The 21040-nt window shown below is 43.5% G+C and overlaps 2 long non-coding RNA genes and 1 pseudogene across 4 annotated transcripts; 2 read left to right on the forward strand and 1 right to left on the reverse strand.

Moving 5' to 3' along the window:
• Positions 1-709: 709 nt before the first annotated feature.
• LOC107986776 (uncharacterized) lies at positions 710-17442 on the reverse strand. 3 transcript variants are annotated; one of them, XR_001745119.2, is made up of 5 exons: positions 16954-17442; positions 15378-15712; positions 14524-14632; positions 1630-1719; positions 710-1211 (listed from the first exon to the last, which is right to left on the reverse strand). It is a non-coding gene; the product is annotated as an uncharacterized LOC107986776 (long non-coding RNA). The 3 variants fall into 3 exon arrangements; XR_007060249.1 differs by having other exon boundaries at positions 1630-1745; XR_007060250.1 differs by having other exon boundaries at positions 15378-15536; positions 16954-17441.
• Positions 7840-8451, forward strand: RPL12P10 (ribosomal protein L12 pseudogene 10; annotated as a pseudogene).
• Positions 15763-18874, forward strand: LOC124901600 (uncharacterized). Its single transcript, XR_007060251.1, has 3 exons — positions 15763-15826; positions 18348-18583; positions 18823-18874. It is a non-coding gene; the product is annotated as an uncharacterized LOC124901600 (long non-coding RNA).

Consider the following 21040-nt stretch of genomic DNA (forward strand, 5'->3'; position numbering starts at 1 on the left):
GCAATGGTGCGATCTCGGCTCACCACAACCTCCACCTCCCAGGTTCAAGTGATTCTCCTGCCTCAGCCTCCCAAGTAGCTGAGATAACAGGCATGTGCCACCACAACAAGCTAATTTTGTATTTTTAGTAGAAACAGGGTTTCTGCATGTGGTCAGGCCATTCTCAAACTCCTGACCTCAGGTGATCCACCTGCCTCAGCCTCCCAAAGTGCTTGGATTACACGTGTGAGCCACCCCACACAGCCTTCTTTTTTCTTTTATAGAGACAGTGTATTCCTGTGTTGCCCAGGCTGGCCTTGAACTCCTGGCCTCAAGCCATCCTCCCACCTTGGCCTCCCAAAGTTCCAGGATTACAGCCATGAGCCACCAAGCCTGGCCAATAAATATTTTAATTTATTTATTTTCTAGGCCTAAAATTGCCAAGGTACCTCTGTGATACATTTTGAGAAGCTTCTCTCCTAAAAGTACAGCCTATATATATATATATATATATATATATATATATATATATATATATATATATATATTTTTTTTTTTTTTTTTTTTTTTTTTTTTTGAGACAGAGTCTTGCTCTGTTGCCCAGGCTGGAGTGCAGTGGCGCGATCTCAGCTCACTGCAACCTCCACCTCCCGGGTTCAAGCACTTCTCTTGCCTCAGCCTCCCGAGTAGCTGGGACTACTACAGGCGTGAGCCACCTCGCCTGGCCTATATATTCTTTAGATAATACAGTACCAATCATTTTTTAGGCACTTCCTACATGCAGACATAGTGTTAAGTGCTTTCCAAATCCTATATCTTATAGAATCCTTCCCAAAGCTGAGCTGTGTGTGTGTGTGTGTGTGTGTGTGTGTCTTTATTTCCCTCATTATACAGATGAGGAAAGTCACGTAACTTGCCCTGGAGTATGCATCTAGTAAGAGGCACAGCTGATTTTAGCTGAATTCAGACTCAAACCCAGGTCTCATTGACTCCAAATAACATATTCTTAAAGGCTGTTGTCAGCCTCTCTCAGAGCCCTGATTGCCTTGTCAGCTCTCTACTTCTCAGCTGATTAGAGGATCAGTACCCAGGGCGGTACCACTCACCAACCAGCTGGCCTCTGTTGTCACCCGTCAGCTCACGATCCAGTCCCTCTGGATGGTGACGGTCAGCGCCGTGCCGGCCAGGTTTGCCAAGGCCACTAGGGTGGTCACCAGTGCACAGCAGGCCACCTACCGAAGGAGGGGAAAGGGTGTATGGAACCCAAGAATAGATTTTCCCGCCCCACTGCAGTGCATAAGGTTATTTATCTGACAGCTCAAGGAACATCTAAATGAACACAAAGACCTGAGAGAGAAAAAGATTCAATGTAGGTTTGGAGCCCAATTCTACTGTGTTAATGCTAAGCATTTTCTTCCTCCCACCCCATCAGAGCCAGAGCCGATGCTAATTTGCACCTTGCAGACACAGACTCTGCTGTTCTATTGCCTTCATGTCAGTGGGATTTCAGCTCAGACTCACAAATTAGGGGAGAGGAGGACACTGAGGAAAGATTAGCCTGATCCAAAACCAGTGAGCGTGGCCACAAAGAAAACACTAACTGGTGGACATTCAGGGTGTCTGTGACGTAGGGACATGGGAGACACTCACAGTGAGCCAGCCATCCCAGATTTGTTCCATCTGCCTCTTGTAGGGGAGCACAAGCATCAGGACAGTGCAACAGGCGGTGACGGAGGCGTTCTGCATGCAGAGCGAGGTATAAGCAACTGTGAATGGAAACACCCAGCCCAATCTCTACTCTCAGTTTTAACAGGCAGTTCACAGCTATATCATCATTTAATGCAGAGGAGGCTGGGTGCGGTGGCTCACAACTGTAATCCCAACACTTTGGGAGGCCAAGGCGGGCAGATCACTTGAGGTCAGGAGCTCCAGACAAGCCTGGCCAACATGGCAAAACCCTGTCTCTCCTAAAAATACAAAAATTAGCCAGGCGTGATGGCACACACCTGTAATTCCAGCTACTCGTGAGGTTGAGGCACGAGAATCACTTGAACCTGGGAGACGGAGGTTGCAGTGAGCTGAGATTGTGCCACTGCACTCCAGCCTGGGTGACAAATTGAGACCCTGTCTCAAAAAAATAAAATATAATAAAAAATAATGCAGAGCAGTTGCATTAGACCAAATCCCAGTGCAACCAGGGTTAGCATTTCCATCGGTGATCACAGGCTTAAGAGGCAAAGAGCAGACTCTTGAGCTCACTAAAGACAAAGCCTTTGCAACCAAAAGAGAAAAAAGCTGTACTTTGCAAGTGAATGAAAACATATCTGAGAGACGGATCATATGAAAAGCTGGATTCTAGGTAAGTCAAGAAACTTAAAATGTTCTAGTGCTACATCACACTCTTCTGGATTTAATTTGTAACTGAATTTACCAATTTAGCGTAAAGACCAGCACACCAGATTTTCAATCAGCTAGTCTTTTCAATGGTGTGGCTTCAGAGAATGCCTTTCCATGGTAGAAGGAGAAAAGTCCTACCTTCCATGGTAGAAGGAAGGCAGTCACGTTGACTAGAAATCAAGGAATAGGAAAAACTTAGGATAGCCTACATTCTTATTGGACAAAGACGCTTAAAGAGATAGTATAGCCCAAAGCTAAAATAGATCTACATTTGAACAAATAAGTCTCCAGATATTAATGACTAGTTTAGACAGATTACCCAGTACAAAAACTCATTTACACAAATAAATTGCCTCTGATAAAAACAACACAAGTATATTATGCATAGGTAATGCCAAAATATTAAAAAGAAAGCACTTTTCAGGAATTTGATATTAAAAACCTATACTTAGCAAAAATCTAAAAACTACATTAAAATATTTTACATGTAGAATCAGAGAATGATGACACAAAGCTGTATAACTTCATCTAGAGTTTTTAACTTATGCTCTTTTGCTATTAAGTTCATAGCAATTTATGAATTTTATTTCACTAAATAAACCAAAAAAGCCAGTGAAGTCATAATGTACCACATAAATATGTATGTCACAGTTAAGAGTGTTACCTTTATTTCTTGGTTTCTTTTCAATCCAATCACCAATTAAGACCCCAAATATTAATACATATCCAGCCACCACTAAGCCAAACACTGCTGATAAAAGCAGATTATGTCCATATAATTCTACCAGGAAGACAGACATGGCAAAGTGCCACATTTGATCTCCCTGCAAGGCAGTACAGGCAAAGCATGTTTTCATCATTGACCTAAAAGATGGATCAAAGTTAAAATCCAGAAAGATGCATTTCTCCCCAGGGACATGTAATATGCAGGATTACAAGACAGAATGTCAAAATTATACTTTTATGCAGTACATCTATAACTTTATTTTTGTGCAATATAGTTATAAATTTTAAAAGCTGGAGAGAATGTATTTTAAAATCTTAAAAGCTCCACAGAGTCAACAAGCTAATGAGAAAATATCAGACAAACACTTGGAAGAACATGAGACCTCCAAGAACAAAGCCCACAATGCCCTGAGGACATCTGCTGATTCCGAAGCAACAGCTGTGAAATACAACAGCAGGTTTGTTGTCCTCAGAAAGACAGACTATGGAAGTCCATGCTACCAAAGATGGGGACTGAGATAAACCAGTTCCCATTTTAAGCTGAGATTCCCATGTAATTACATCCTAAATGTAAGCAAGGGTAAACCTGAAGTAAACTGACCCTCACATGGACTTGTAGTCCAGTTCTGCCTCATCCCAATGGGCCAGGAAATCTCAAACCTTGAACATGGATTAAAGTGTTACCAAATGACTAGTGTCCACTATGCATCTGGTAGAAGCTAGTTAAAGTTATCTCTAAAGGAAGATGCCACCATCTTAGGCTTCAAAGTATTCCTACAATAATAATAATAAAATAAAAATTTTATAAAATAATATACAAATTATTATCATTATTATGTTGAGACTGGATCTCACGCGTTCTCCCAGGCTGAGTGCAATGGTGCAATCATAGCTCACTGCAGCCTCAACTTCCCAGGCTCAAGAGATCCTCCCACCTCAAGCCTCCCAAGTAGCCAGGACTACAGGCATGCACCAGGATGCCCAGTTATTTTTTTTTTATGTATAAAAAAGATGGGGTCTCACTATGTTGCCCAGGCTGGTCTCCTGGGCTCAAGCAATACTCCCACCTCAGCCTCCCAAAGTGTTGAGATTACAAGTGTGAGCAACCACACCCAGCCTTTATAATTATTTATTATATTTATTCCAACACATATGTTTTTATGTACCTGCTTTTTTTTTTTTAGATGGAGTACCCTTGTCGCCCAGGCTGGAGGGCAGTGGCATGATCTCAGCTTGCTGCAACCTCCACCTCCTGGGTTCAAGTGATTCTTCTGCCTCAGCTTCCTGAGTAGCTGGGATTACAGTCATGCGCCACCACACCCAGCTAATTTTTGTATTTTTAATAGAGATGGGGTTGGCCGGGCACTGTGGCTCACACCTGTAGTCCCAGCACTTTCGGAGGCTGAGGCAGGTGGATCATGAGGTCAGGAGATCGAGGCCATCCTGGCTAATATGGTGAAACCCCATCTCTACTAAAAATATAAAAAATTAGCCAGGCGTGGAGGCGTGCACCTGTAGTCCCAGCTACTCTGGAGGCTGAGGCAGGAGAATCGCTTGAACTTGGGAGGCAGAGGTTCCAGTGAGCCAAGATAGCGCCACTGCACTCCAGCCTGCGTGACAGAGTGAGACTCCATCTCAAATAAATAAATAAATAAATAAATAAATTAGAGACGGGGGTTTCACCATGTTGGCCAGGCTGGTCTTGAACTCCTGACCTCAAGTGATCAGCCCACCTTGGCCTCCCAAAATGCTGGGATTACAGGAATGAGCCACTACACCCAGCCACCTTCCTCTATTTGTTCTATATTTGATAATTCAAACATATTTAAACAAAAATACACATTTTTGCATCTAATATTTTGAGACATCCTAATGTCCTTAATATTGCAGTTCTCTTAACCATCCAAAGATAAAAGATTAATTTCATTTTGATTCCTCTCTTACCCACATTCATAAGGCACAACTTATAAAAATAAAAAATCTTGGACTCATGAGGTAAATCAAAGTTGCTCCTAAAACACATGTATTTAAACCACGAGCATTATTAAACAATAAATATATATACATTATTTATTTGGAGCAAATTTTGCCAGCTAATCAGAAAGAGTAAAATGCTGTTTAGCATGAATTTGCTTTTAGAGAGTACACCAGTGCTGGATAAAAATACAGGCACCAAGTTAGGGGATTCTCAGGGATTTTGTTTTCTTTTGACAAAGTTGTCTTCATTCATTTGTCACTGAGGGACCGCTAGGGAAATATCCACCTGTATCCCTTTTCTTAAGTCTAGAAATAGAGAAATAAGCAAGGCATTTCCATTGATATATGTGCCATAAAGGAAGTAGCCCAGAATGCAATGAAAGTATGTAAAAATGGCAGGAAGTTGCCCCACGGCAAAATCTGAGGGCCAAGAAGGAACTGAACTAGCAAGTGAGGATTAGGGGTAGAGACAGCTCTCCAGGTTGGGAGAACAGTGGGTACAGAGGCCTATTGAAAAGAGAAAGGATAACTGCAGACAAAATCCAGAGGTTGGGGTGGAAGGTGCGAAAGTCGGAGAGGAATAAGAAAGGGAAGGGATGAATCAAGTCTGGAGAGAGACTCCCCTTTACCTGGGAGGAGCAGGAAGGAGCGGTGGATCACCAAAGCTGCTGTGCCCTGATATGGCTTGGCTGTGTCCCCATCCAAATCTCAAATTGTATCTCCCAGAATTTCCACGTGTTGTGGGAAGGACCCAGGGGGAGGTAATTGAATCACGGGGGCCAGTCTTTCCTGCGCTATGCTTGTGGTAGTGAATAAGTCTCACAAGATCTCATGGGTTTATTAGGGGTTTCTGCGTTTGCTTCTTCCTCATTTTCTCTTGCCGCCACCATGTAAGATGAGCCTTTCACCTCCCACCATGACTCTGAGGCCTCCCTAGCCATGTGGAACTGTAAGTCCAATTAAACCTCTTTTTCTTCCCAGTCTCAGGTATGTCTTTATCAGCAGTGTGAAAATGGACTAATACAGCCCTCTGTGGATTCCCAGCTGCAGGCGGCCTCCTCTCCAGCCTTTCAACACACTCACCCTGCACCTTCCCCACAGAGCTGGGGGCCAGGGCCTGTCTCAGCTACTTGCCAGGACTCCTTTCCTGCTTCCTCTTGCCCATCCTGACCATCACTCCTTATTTTCACCTTTCTGATGCCCATCAGAAATGGGGGTCATAAATGGGGGTCAGAAATGCGGTTCTGATTTAGATCTTTAGTGCCACAGGAAACACAGTTATCAGTGCAGAGTGAGTGTGGGAAAGTTTTCAGGAGAGAAGAGAGGTCATTTAGGAGAGTGGATCAGACCCCCATCTGGCCAGGCAGTGGCATCCCAGTCTTCCTGGTTATGCCCTGCAATCTCATGTGTGTCTTCCTGGTTTTAGAGAGCCCTGCTGAAAGCCCTCTTTATGGCACCCACTGCCTTCTACCCTACCTCATCGCCACATCCCCTATGGAGGCTACCACTGATTCAGATCCATCATTGCAACCCTCAGCAGAATAGCCCTGCTATAGTGGCAGGGATTCCATATCTACCCTTTCCTTCCTTCCTCCCCTCCTCCCTTCCTTTCTTTTCTTTCCCTTCTTTTTTCCTTCCTTCCCTCTTCCTTCCTCCCATCCTTCCTTCTCACCTGCCCTCTTGTATGTATTCATGTATTTAGGTATTTTGCCAGGCATTGGGGATAAAGTGGTAAGAAAGTTGGAGAGGGTTCTTACACTTACAGCCCAGGGATAACAGCAAATAGACCATGAATTACAACCCAGTGTGATAAGTTTCAGCTTAGACAGGGTGAGGTGCCACCCCATCACCCCAGAAGCTAGTCATGGAGGAACCATGGCAGGTCACTCAAAAGGCCCTCTGGAACCTAAAGGTTGGCATATGGCACTGAGGAAGGACATTGACTCTGGACATGTCAACCCCTGACACAGGAGCACTACCCAGCCACCCACCCCAACACTGAAACAGTGCCTGGGGTCATTCACACCCGCAGAGGTCACCAACCCTGTGGCCTCTCCCCAGGTGCACCCTCTGTGCTTCAGCACTTCAGCCATGCCTGAGGCATCAGGGTTTTGCTGTCACTCCACACCCCAGCACTGGACAAATCCTCCAGTGACAGAAACTGCATTAAAGTGCTGGAACCACAGTCTGCTCAAGCCAACCCCACTGGCCCATCGGCTGGTGGAAAGAGCTTCTTGGGAGCTAGCCTGCCACAGCAGGAATTCTCTGGAATGTGTCAGGATCTTCCATCTGGCCCAGTCTGGGTAGAGGGTCTGGCCAGGAGAAGATCACTCCTCACTGGCTAGTCTCCCTTCAAAGTCTCAGCACCAGGTTGGTCCTTGGGCTGGGCTGCCATTGGACTGCATTTCTCGTGTCCACTGACATTCCCACTTCCCTAAATGACCTCTCTTCTCTCCTGAAAATTCTCCCACACTCACTCTGCACTGATGACTGTGTTTCCTGTGTCACTAAAGATCTAAAAAGCATGGGAGAGGACTTCCTTGAGCTCTCATCCCCACACCTGCCCCCCTGCCTGCACCCAGGCCCTGGGCTCTGCCACTCCTCCTGTCTCCAGGCTCCTGGCACAGACCAATTCCCCCCCACATCCCTCTTCCCTCCAGTCTTTCTTCCCCCCTGCTCATGTGTCCTCAAACGTTCTCTTTACTAGGTCTTACAAACAAGCTGTTATTCCAAGAATCTCTTCAAAAAACAGCAACAAGGCTTTCAGCTTTCAGCTGGGAGGAGGCCAAGGTGCAACTTTCTTGGGTCGTCCTGAATCTAGCCACCTCTGCCATGCTGCCGAAGTTCTACCCCAATGAGATCAAAGTCACATACCTAAGGTGTACTGGGGATGAAGTGGGTGCCACGTCTGTGTTGGCCCCCAAGATCAGCCCCCTAGGTCTGTCTTCAGAAAAGGTTGGTGATGACATTGCTAAAGCAACTGGTGACTGAAAGGATCTGAGGATTACAGTGAAACTGATCATTTAGAACAGAGAGGCCCAGATTGAGGTGGTGACTTCTGCCTCTGCCCTGATCATCAAAGCCCTCAAGGAACCGCCAAGAGACAGAAAGAAACAGAAAAACATTAAACACAGTGGAAATATCACTTTTGATGAGATTGTCAATGTTGCTCAACACATGTGGCACCGATCTTTAGCCAGAGAACTCTCTGGAATCATTAAAGAGATCCTGGGGACTCCCCAGTCTGTGGGCTGCAATGTTGATGGCTGCCACCCTCATGATATCATAGATGACATCAACGGTGGTGCTGTGGAATGCCCAGCTAATTAAGAAGCACAAAGGAAAATATTTCAATAAAGGATCATTTGAAAAACAAACAAAAAAAAAAAAACACAAAAAAACAAAAACAGCAACAATAACTTTCTCTTGGCCTCCCTGTTCTTCTCTTGGCTACTACCCCAGCTCTCTACTCACCTTTATATCTTGAAAGGATCATTTGTTCTTGCTTCAATTCTCCCTCAACCCACTGTGAACAACTTTCATCCCCATCTCTCAACATATCTACTCCTCACAAGGTCATCAATTACCCCCCACAGGGTGCAATCCAGCTGTCAGTTCTGAGTGCTCATCTCTGCATGTGACACCTTGCTCCCTTCCTCCTTTGTGAACCCTGCCTCACTAAGCTTCATGCACCCCCTTCTCCTGGCTTTTCTCTTCCAACACTGGCTGCTCCTTCTATTGCCTCCTTTACCAACCTCCTATCTTTAGCGTCCTCAAGCATCTGGTCTTGGACCCCCTCCCCTCCACTCTCCTCCCCTGCCCTCTCCTCCTCTACCCTTCCCTTCCCTTCTCTTTCCTTTCTTGACAGGGTCTCACTCTGGTTGCCGAGACTGAATTACAGTGGTGTGATCTCGGCTCACTGCAGCCTTGAGCTCCCGGGCTCAGATGATTCTCCCACCTCAACCTCCTGAGTAGCTGGGATTACAGGCATGCACTATCATGTCTGGCTATTTCTTAATTTTTATTTTTAGTAGAGACAGGGTTTCACCATGTTGCCCAGGTTGGTCTCAAGCTCCTGGACTAAAGCAATACACTTGCCTTGGCCTCCCGAAGGGCTGGGATTACAGGAGTGAGCCTGGCCACCTCTTCTATTTTCTATTTAAACCCACTCCTTTAAGGATATCACCAGCCTCATGATTTAAAATACCACAAGGCCGACAAGTCCCAAATTTCTAAGTCCAGCAACCACCACTTGTCCAACATCCATGGGAGCCTGAGTAGGCGTATCACATTTAACATGTCCAAAACGGAACTCCTGATCTTATTCCATTCAAACTCGTTCCACCCCCGGCTTCCCCATCTTAGTGAGTGAAAACTCCATTCTTCCTGTTGCTCAGACCAGAAAACCTTCATCTGTTCTCTCTTTTAAACCCTACACCCCAGTCAGGCATCATGTTGCCTGAGCCTTCAAAAGAATATCCTGAATCTGATTACTTTTCACCACCACCACTGCTACCAGCCTAAACACCCCCACCTCTTTCCAGGGTTATTGCAATATCCCCTCACTTATCCCCTATCTGTGCCTTGGCCCACTTTCAATCTATCCTCATCATAGCAGCGAGAGGGGTTCTATTAAAAATCTAAGTCAGATCATGAAACTCCTCTGCTCAAAACCTCTAATGGTTCTCATCTCACGTAGGGTAAAATACAAAGTCCTTACAAAGGTCCACAAGGGCCTCAGGATCTGTTCCCTCCATTCACTTCTCTGACCTCCTCTACTACCCTACCCCATCGACTATGCTCCAGCCACATGGACTTCACTCCCATCTCCCGAACCTTTGCACTTGCCATTCCCTCTGTCTGGAATACTCTTCCTCTAGGCAGGCTCAGGAGTCAGGCCATCAGCCCATCAACCCCATCAACTCCATTGGGTCTTTATTTAAAAGTTATCTTTGCAGTAGGACCTTCCCTACCCACCCCACCTAAATATTGCACCCTTTATAAAAGCACTGACCAACAGAACTTTGTGCTTGATGAAACTTTATCTTCACTGTCCAATAGGATGGCCACTATGAGGCTTTTGAGCACTGGAAATGTGGCTTGTATGACATGGAAATGGAATTTTTAACTTTAACTAATTTAAATATCATCAGCCACACAAGGCTAGTGGCCACTATGTTGTAAGCACAGCATCTTTACACTCCTTTATCTCTTTTTGCTGCATTATTTTTTTGCTTACTATTTGCCACTAACATACTACATAATTTACTTATAATTTATTCATACATCTTGTTTATAATTTGTTTTCCTCACTAGAATGTAAGTGGAAAAAACAAATTATGACTACACGGAGAATGAGGGGCAGGAATCTTTGTCTGTTTTGTTCACTACTATATTTCTGGTACCTAGAACAGTTTCTGGCACATAGTATATACTAACAAAATCTTTGTTAAATGAAGGAACACGCAGTAGGAGACTCTACAAGCTCCACCCAGGCATTGCTCTGCTCTCTGTCCATGTCTACTCTCTGCTAATTTGCCAGACGTTGATCTAACTTTCATCTCCTGACCTGGATGTTCATAGGTTCCTCTGGCCCTTCTCCTTCTGAATGGTTTCTTCCTTCAGAAACCAGTGTCTAGTTTCCCAGTGGTGTACCCACTACCTTCACTTCAACCCACCAGTCTATAGCCTCTTGGTCCTCTCTGCCAGCCTTGGCTCTGTTGGGCTTCTCTTTAACTAGGCTTACCTGAGACAACAAATGGCCAAGAGCCATGGGGTAGGCCAAGAGTGCTGTCAGCCTATGCTTCTCTTCTTTGCTAAGACTCCAGAAAACAACACAGCACTTCACGGCATCTCTCGGCAGTCAACCAGAGTTAGAAGCTGGACCTCAGTCATCCACACCACATGCTAAATCATCACCAAATGGCCTCATGATGAAGGACTTCACACACAGAAACCTTCTGGGCATAGGTCACGCCTTCTATGCCTTTCCAGGACACATGACTGTGGCCCCCAGTGATGGTTAGGTGGCTATTACTGAGCTAAGACTCTACAATGAGTGTCTTGCTTCCTTTCTAAAAGAAACCCTACCCTTGGGCCAAGGGATAGGGAAGGGAACAGAAGGGAATTCTAGTTATGGCTGTTCTTTGTTTTAACCAATAAATGGATTTCCATTTTAAGAGCCCAGATGTCAAGAGTATCTTATTATAGTGGCCTCACACAGGCTGGGAATGAAGTAGAAATTAGAATGGTTGTTGAAAACTTTCCGTTTTCTTCTTCTTTATTAAGTCTGATGACTCAGACTTGATCTAGGGCTTTTTGTAACAGCCAGGCACATCCTCTTACATAAATGAGAGAAGATGTAACCACCTATTATAATGCCTTGCATATAAGGGACACTCAACAAACGGTGGCTAATAATATGATGAGTAGAAATAAATATTCTGTTCTGCCTCACAATGTCTATCACAATGAAAACAATTGTGGGAAGTAAACTGTATATTGAAATGTATTACCAAAATCGAAAGTTAAGCAAAAATAGTTTCCATAGATAGCTAAAAACTTTCTGTTTTTCCTGAGCTAAAGAAGAACAAGAAACTAAAACTCCTTTCAGGCACCATTTATCTTTCTGTTAAACATCAATCTGATGTCATGTGGCAAGAGTTTTAGTTTCATTTAAAAATCATTTCTGATATCTTGTGGAACAGAACAATTTCCCTTCCAGAGAAAAAGGGTATCTATTTAGCCAATGACAAACAGCTTCCATTTTCTCCTTTTTTTTAACTTTCTTTTTTTTTTTTTTTTTTTTGTTAACACCACTTTTGTTCAGGGTGACAGTACACCTGTAGCCCAAGGGGATGAATCACAGTAGATATAAATTCCACGTGGTGATTTCCTTCCCTAGACTACCCTGTAGCTAGGATTGGCATAGGACCATTCTGGCCAGTGAGGTATAAGTAGAAGTCTCCTGGGGGCTTCAGGGAAAGAATCTGCTTTCTGATAAATGATGCAAGTGCAAGAGGAGAGTTTGCTTTTGCTCTTCCCCACCCACATCCTGTCTGGGAGTGTGACAGTGCCTACAGCTGCAGCAGCTGTCTTGCAATCATGAATTGACAGTGTCAGAAGCCAATCTGCTGAAAATGACAAGGCAGATGGATAGATCAACATGGGGTCTCAATGGCATCACTGAGTGGCTGCACCAACACTAAATGGACAACAGCTGCAATTCTTGTTTAGCCAAGGTTGAAGGTTCTTAAAATTGAAACTCTTGTCAGTTGAGTTTTATTTGCAGCCAGAAGCAATTCCAACTGATTCACAGACCTTTAATTACTAGTTCAATGACTACCCATACACCCAGTATCTAAATTTAACTACTTCTAATATTTACCACATTTGCTTTTTTCTCTAAGTTTTCAATATATGTGGAAGATAAATTGTAGACATAACGCTTAGCCCTTCAGCAAGTATCTCCTAAAAAGAAGAACATTTTCCTTCATAACCACAAGGCTATTATCCCTCCTAAAAATATTAATGATTCTGTGATATCATCTGAACACTAGTCCATATTCGGTTTCCTTTATCACAAAACACATTTAACACAAAAATGTGTTTTTGTAGTTGGATAAAATTTTCATATAAATGTTCATACAAACGGGACTTGGGATTTTGTTTTCCCTTTTCTTTTCCCTTTTTAAAAAAAATTTAATTAATTATTATTTTTTTTTTATTTTTTGAGATGGAGTCTCGTTCTGTCACCAGGCTGGAGTGCAGTGGTGTGATCTTGGTTCACTGCAACCTCCGCCCCCCGGGTTCAAGCGATTCCCCTGCCTCAGCCTCCCAAGTAGCTGGAACTACAGGTACCTGCCACCACGCCCAGCTAATTTTTGTTTTTTTAGTAAAGATGGGGTTTCACTATATTGGCCAGGATGGTCTCAATCTCTTGATGTTGTGATCCACCTGCCTCGGCCTCCCAAAGTGCTGGAATTACAGGCATGAGCCACCGCGCCCAGACTTAATTTATTTATATTTATTTATTTTTTGAGACGGAGTCTCACTGTGACACCCAAGCTGGAGTACAATAGCACGATCTTGGCTTACTGCAACTTCCACCTCGCAAGTTCAAGCGATTTTCCTGCCTCAGCCTCCCGAGTAGCTGGCATTACAGGTGCCCGCCACCATGCCCAGCTAATTTTGTATTTTTAGTAGAGACAGGGTTTCACCATGTTGGCCAGGCTAGTCTCAAACTCCTGACCTCAAGTGATCCACCCACCTCGGCCTCTCAAAGTGCTGGGATTACAGAGGTGAGCCACCACTACTGGCCTTCTCCTTTTAATAAAAAAGAAACATTCTCCACTCTCTCCGCCTGTGGCTACAAAGTTTCATTTTCCAGACCATGCTGGCTCTGGGCCCATAGTGCCCCTGGGAAGATTGGAATAAAGCTTTGGCGTTAAGACTAACAAATCCAGCCAGGCGCAATTTAAAGTTAATCGTTGATTAAATTTAAATGCATAAAGCTGATTTACTTTGGAAGGCCCAGGCGGGTAGATCCCTTGAGGTCAGGAATTTGAGGCCAGCCTGGCCAGCACAGTGAAACCCCATCTCTACTGAAAATACAAATTAGCCGGGCGTGGTGGTGTGCACCTGTAGTCCCATACTCAGGAGGCTGGGGCAGGAGAATCACTTGAACCTGGGAGGCGGAGGTTGCAGTGAGCCGAGATCACATCACTGCACTCCAGCCTGAGTGATAGAGTGAGACTCTTGTCTCAAGAAAAAAAAAAAAAAAGACTTACAAGTCACCTAAAAGCCTCATCCACGTATCTTCCAAAAGTGTTGTAAGACTTCCCATTTGGAAATTTACTTGGGATTGAGCTCGTGATGTACTAATATTCTTCTCAATTAGACAGTGAGGCAAAGGACTGTGAACATTTAATGTGGAGTAAGGCACCCTCTCTGTGAGCCAGGCTTCTTGGTTAGGGGTCCTACCTGTATCCCACCTCCCAAAACAGCTCTACACATCACACTCCACAATTCACAAGTAACAGTGTGAGAAGATAAACAAGAGATGACATTTTTATCCACAGTTGTGGTAATTACAATACTAATTGTGTATATGAAATAGTCAACACTTTTTATAACTTATAACTATAAGAAAAATTAGGATGCACCCACAATCTAGAAGAGATGGAAAAACAAAGTTAATTGTGTTGTGACATTTAAATTAGTGAAATCCATTAAGATTTTTCTAGAACATTGCTACATAGAAGGACAAATGCTTTGTTAATTTTGCTTATTTTGTTTAACCTCCCACCCTAATTAATACCACTATGCTCAGAGGAACTGTGCAATTTCAGGGTGACATGAATGAAGCCATAGTACCCCAGGAAAGGCCATGTGCCCCCTTTCTCAAGTAGAGCTTATTAAAGTTAGGTCTAACCAGAGGCTTACCTAAAGCACTCTTCTCTCTCTTCATTCATCCGGTGCCCGTGGCTTTAGTCTGTTTCTCCTCATTTCCAGAATTTTCAGTGTCATTTAGTTCTCCCACCATTACTACATGCTAGAAGAAAAAGGTTTCAAATAATGAAAAATATATTCAAAACTGTTATACGGTCCTAAACTGGAAGAAGTCAATGTGCTTTAACTTAATTCCAATTGGATCCCTCTAAAACCATTTATATTTCACTTATTTCAACTGTAGAAAGTTAATTGTATAATCTATTATAAGGGCTTTATTGCACATGAATAAAGTCATAACAATTGTCATCAACATAAAGGCCTATTATTAATGCTCAAAACCAATTATTTAGGGGGAAATATTCAACCAGCTATAATCAGAGACTCACAGATTAATCACGCATGCAAAAAAAAGGTTAAAGATACGTTTTAACTAAATTATCTGTGTCGCCATTCTAACAGGAACAATGACGTAAGTAACTTGTCCTTTATTTTCTTTTTTTCTTTTTTTTTCTTTTTTATAGAGACAGGGTCTCGCTATGTTTCTGGGGCCAGGGAGGATCCAACTCCTGGCCTCAAGCAATCCTCCCTCCTCAGTCTCCCAAAGTACTGGGATTACAGATGTAAGCCATATCGCCCGGCCCAATTTGTCCTTCTTTAACATGTTATTCTTTCAACATGTTATTTCTCAACAGGGTAAATTGATTATTTGGCAAGTTATAAATAAAAGCTTCATTGTAATTTCACTAACATAGATCCTTAAGAAGAAAATGCTTGCTCCTGCTAATGACTATTTGAATTCTAAATGGAGTTCGAATAAGGAATTTTAAACCTTTAAGTTTGCTTACCGAACATGGACAGCAGTAAAGTTTTGGTCTTTCACTGGACTCCAGAGGTCAGATAGAAAGACGAGTTATAAAGCAGTGTAGCCCCAGCTTCTGCACCACACACAGGTGTTGCTACCATGGAGCACTTTGAGCGGAAAGTGCTGGAGGTGCAAATGTTTCCTGTGGGTTGTCAAAAGAGAGGCCAGTAGTTTCTGCCACCCGTGACCGCCCAGCACAATATGCTCTGGCAGGGGCCATTATTAGCCCATAAGTTGCTGCACTGAGAGAAAGGCACACGGGGTGCAGCCAGTTCTGGGGGCTTGAACATGTCCAAAACATCCTTGTCTTATAGAAACCTAGGACACATACAGGAACATTCATTAATATTCTCAAAGAAGAAAGTTTTATTTTGCACTTGGAAATATGTCAGAAATCACTTGAAGGCAAATAAGATCTGGCCCTCTGCAGAGGTAAGTGGCTAACATGCCCTAGATCTCCAGGCTTAGAGGCTGCCCCTTTGGTACCCATGATTCTCCAGGCCTTTCCAGGGCAACATTGTCCAGCATCTCTCTCTCTCCTCCCCCCGTCTTCCTTTGGAAGTTTGACTCTCATGTGTGGTGCCGGATCCCTAGGCCACCTGTGCCGGCCAGCCCCTGAACAGATAAATCCTACTAAAGGTTAATCCCAAGCACAAGCTTTGGGCTGGTCCTTCTGGGTTGATTGGCTTTCTCTCTCTCTCTCCTTTTTTGAGATGGAGTCTCCTTCTGTCGCCCAGGCTGGAGTGCAGTGGCACAATCTCGACAATCTTGGCTCACTGCAACCTCTGCCTCCCGGGTTCAAGCAATTCTCCTGCCTCAGCCTCCTGAGTAGCTGGGATTACAGGTGCCCGCCACTGCTTCTGGCTAATTTTTGTAGTTTTAGTAGAGATGGGGTTTCACCATGTTGGCCATGGTTGGCCAGGCTGGTCTCAAACTTCCGACCTCAGGTGATCCGCCCACCTCGGCCTCCCAAAGTGCCGATATTACAGGTGGGAGCCACCGCTCCTGTCCTGATTGGCCTTTCCTCCAAGAGCCATGCTAACCCAACCAAAAGGATTCCATTTTTAATGAGAATTTCAGGAACCAGTATTTTCTTTTGGGTGAAGGGGAGAGGGATTGGGGATTGGGGACGGTTTTCCAGGTCTTTGGCTCATCATATAATAGATACCACTTAGTGGCAACTGTGGCCCAACAAAAACATTTTTTCTGTCCCAAGACCTTAGGGCATTGAGAAAGGACCCTCAAGGCACTGATTCCCTTCAGTAATGACCTAAAATATTTCTCCCAGATGGGCTCAGGTTCCTGAGACAGCCTCCACACACTTAGTCCATACATCTTGTTTGCAGTTAATGGCAAAGAGTTAGCTGAGAAATCTAAGATAACAAGGCTTTTACTTTATAAATGTGCAACCTAAGAAATCAATCCAAAAATATGTAATGAAAGCATTCCATTTGACACATTCTAGATATATTATCTACATTTTGCTACAAATGCTTTGGCCTAAAATAAATGGCTTTGTTTGCAGAAATGTGTACCACACATTTATCAAAACTCCTCACCTGCTGGAAAGCGCTGTAGTCGTGGTAACTGGAGGGCTCAGCAGCACCTGAGTCCTGCAGGCTGGCAAGGCTCCTCTTGCTATTCCACCACCCCATCTCGGGGCAGCCACAGGGCAGACACAGCCAGGCATTTGAGAAACTCACTCCCCGTTTGCTGTATTTACCAGGTCCTGAGCTAGGGGGTTAAGAGGAAAGAGGACACATCCCAGCTTCACCTTTGATGTACACATGTGGAAAAAAGAAGCAGGTGGAGTTACTCTTTCCAAAACGAAATATTCAAAAAGTGTATGGAAATATAAATGCAACTTTGAAATGACAAGCGGTTTCTCTAGGCAGGATCCAGCAGAACTCAAAAAGTCAGTACGTTGCTCTAGGCAAAAACTTGACAGTACTGGGGCATGGGAGAAGAATTTTAAAGTGCTTCATCCAGTGCAAATTTTCCCAATTAAAGCTATATTTTTTACATATCTGTACATAATAGATATAGAATAGATAGGTTATAGAATATGTATATATACATAGGTCTACATATATAACACATACGTAAGTATGTATATACATATTTAAACAAAGATTTCTATGATCTAACTCAAACTTTCGGTGTTGAATCAGAGACGCCTTGGTCATTAATAAAGAAATAACAAGGCCGGGTGCTGTGGCTTACACCTGTAATTTCAGCACTTTGGGAGGCTGAGGCGGGCAGATTGCCTGAGGTCAGGAGTTCAAGACCAGCTTGGCCAACATGATGAAACCCTGTCTCTACTAAAAATACAAAAAACCTAGGTGAGCATGGCGGCACGTGCCTGTAATCCCAGTTACTCGGGAGGCTGAGACAGGAGAATTGCTTGACCCTGGGAGGCAGAGGTTGCAGTGAGCTGAGATTGCCCCACTTCACTCCAGCCTGGGTGACACAGCGAGACTCCATCTCAAAAAAAAAAAAAAAAAAAAAAAGAAATAATGAAATAATTCATTAATTTTGGACAGAGGTGGGGGCAGGGAGAAAATGCCATTTAGCATAAGATGACCAGCTTCCTGAAAAGTACCTTTCTCTAATATAAACTCCAAAAATCATTTCAAAACTTACCACTTTATGCCGTCCACACCTTTAAGGTCCAAAACTGACATATCCAAAGTAAATGGGAACCCAAGAAAAAAGGTATTATTCCCTGGCTCCAGGCAGATCAGCCCTTACCTCCTTCAAAGAAAGTTTCTTGCTGTTTTTATTGACTGTTGTTTTAAATAAAATGAACAGGTAATTGAGAAGTTGTTGCTGAGCTTGTACACGATAGTAGATGGGTTTTTACTCTCCAAATAAGAATATTTTCCCCTCAGTGCACACTGCGTGATAGAATTATGCACTTGACTTAGTGACCCAGGGGCATTTGAATCCATAGGTAAGAAGGCTCAAAGGAACTCGAAGAGAAAGCAATGGGGAAGCAGATTAGACAGAAGGTCTCTCTGGAAGCAGCATTTTCTGCTGTGGATGAAATCATGTTTTCCAGCCCGATGCACTCCTCCTACAGAAACTGGTCAGCATTTCTCCAGGCGCGAGAAGTGCCAATGCCTGTGTCCCATCACAGACTCTGGAGTGAAACTGCCTGGTTCAGATCCCAACAGCCCTGTGGCCAAGGTCAGGTTAATTGATTTATTTAAGCCTCAGATTTTCATCTCTAAAATAGGAATAATAATGGGAATAATAATAATACTTACCTCTCAGAGTGGTTATGAAGACTAAATGAGAATGCATGAAGGTGCTTAGGGGAGTGCCTGGGGTAGAGTTAGAGCTCAAAAGAGCATAGCTATTGTCATTTATTATTAGTAGCATTTACATATTCAATTATCATTATTGTCATTATTATTATATTCCAGGTGTGAAATGGCAATCAATGCGAAGAAGTGAGCAATAAACACGTTTTGGGAAGATACCCTCACAAACACACTCTCTTCTTTCCCTGTGGTAGACCATGAACCCTAATGTTTTGGGATGAATCTAGACTTTCCATTGGGATTAAGGTCAAAGGCTGAGTCCCCCAGAGCATGATTCATAGTGTTAGGAATAAAGCCATCAGAGTGCCATAGAACACAACAAGAAATACACTTTTACTCTTTTATTTTTGTTTAATTTTATTTTAGAGACAAGACCTGGCTCTGTCTTCCAGACTGGAGTGTAGTGGCATGATCACAGCTAGTAAGCAGTCCAACCTCAAATTCCTGGACTCAAGCAATCCTCCTGCCTCTCAGCCTCCTTACTAGGTGGGACTACAGGCATGTGCCAACACACTCAATTAAACTTTTTTTTTTTTTTTTAACAGATGGGATCCCACTATGTTGCCCAAACTGGTCTCAAACTCCTGGCCTCAACTGATCCTTCTACCTCAGCCTCCCAAACTGCAGAGATTACAGGCATGACCCACCATGCTCAGCCAGTTTTACCCTTTTAAATTAGTTCTTAAACAATTCATGCATAGATAGATCCTCCTTATAAAAATTCAAACAATTGCAGGTAAGGACAAATTGGCCTTTGACCACCATCCCTGATCCTAGAGTCCTCTTCAGAGGGAAGCACTGTTGTCAGAGTAGAATCCATCTTTCCACACCTTGTCCATGGAAAAATTTACACTGCTCATTTTGGTTCACATAAATGGACTTACACCCTATGCGTTATTTTGCAACTGCTTTTTTCATTCAATAATGTCTGGAGCTATTTCCATGTTAGTATTCTTTTTTTAAAAAAAAATGGTGCCTATTCCCAATAACCACAATGGATTGCTTCAATAGGCCTGATGGATGTCCATCCCTTGCCTGCTTCTGTCTGTTCCAGAAGTCATTGCTTTGTGGGGGAAACGGCTTACTAGCCTGAGACACTGGACATTTGTTTTTTGGCTCTAGCAATTCTAACTAGAAGTGAGACCTTGCGTTAATCATTAGACCACTCTGAAATTCAGTTCCCTTATCTATTAAGTGAGAGATTTGGACTATATGGTTTCTAAGTTTCCAAACAGCTATGATAATCAGTATTTTGGTATTGAGACAGAGAAAAATGATCTTTTTCAAATGTCAGAGTGAAAAAAGTCATGTGAGTGGGAAAAGCTGATGATCTCTGAGGAGGTTATTCCTACCAATGCTTCCCACAAGGTCAGGTCTATTCCTCACCTATACTCTGGCTTACCTTGTTCTTTTAATGCATGCCTAGTATTTAATAGTATGTGAGCTTTATTTGACATCACCAGAGTCAAGATATTTTTGCATAGCCACAGATACACAAATTCCTCTGAAGGAATTTCGTTGAAAATAATTACAGCTGGACCATTTATTGGGGATAAAATTAGGATGTCAGAAGACAGGTTTGGGGAAGTCAGTGCTAAAAGGGAGGGATTTGAGTACCCTAAAAAGTTGCGTTCAATCATTTATTTCTTCAACACTTATTGAGCGCCTACTATGTCCAGCGGCCAGGACATTAAAATGAAGAACGAAGACCATTAGCCTTGGTGCTTCCAAAATCTCAGCCATTGCTTGTTTTCTACCCACAGGGTGTTTGTGTTATGGGGCAGTTCTTTCACTCCCCAGTCCATCACCATTGTACTTTGCTGTCAGAGAGATCAGATGAAGCCTTGGAGAGCCGCTTGTCAGCATGGGTTTGTTTTTAATGAGGTTTCCTTCAACCCCACTATTAATGTTTAATCAGTGCAGGAGGAAGGTGGTTGGCAAAGATCGTTTTATAACTCTTATCATTGTTGCTGGAACATAAAAAAATTATCATTACTGATACCAAAAAGGAAATGTTGTTTCACCAGGAAATGGCAAACTGGGACCTATTGTGGTGTGGATGAGCAGTGACGTAATCGAGGGTGGGGAGTGTGGAGGTGGAACGTGAGGGCTGCGGTGTTGAACGAGGGGGAGAGGGGACCCAGCAAACGTTCTCCTACCTTCTTCCCTTTTCCTCTGAGTGGCAGTAGGTTGTAAAGACCTAGAGAGTTCGTAGCATAACCTGCCAGTACGTACCCTAGGGTTGAGCCCAGCCTTTTGCCCCATGTCCCACATTCTACTGGACTTGTTCACAACCCCAACCACATTCCCACTCCCTTAG

This window comes from Homo sapiens, chromosome 7, assembly GCF_000001405.40.
Source record: "Homo sapiens chromosome 7, GRCh38.p14 Primary Assembly".
Lineage (NCBI taxonomy): Eukaryota > Metazoa > Chordata > Mammalia > Primates > Hominidae > Homo > Homo sapiens.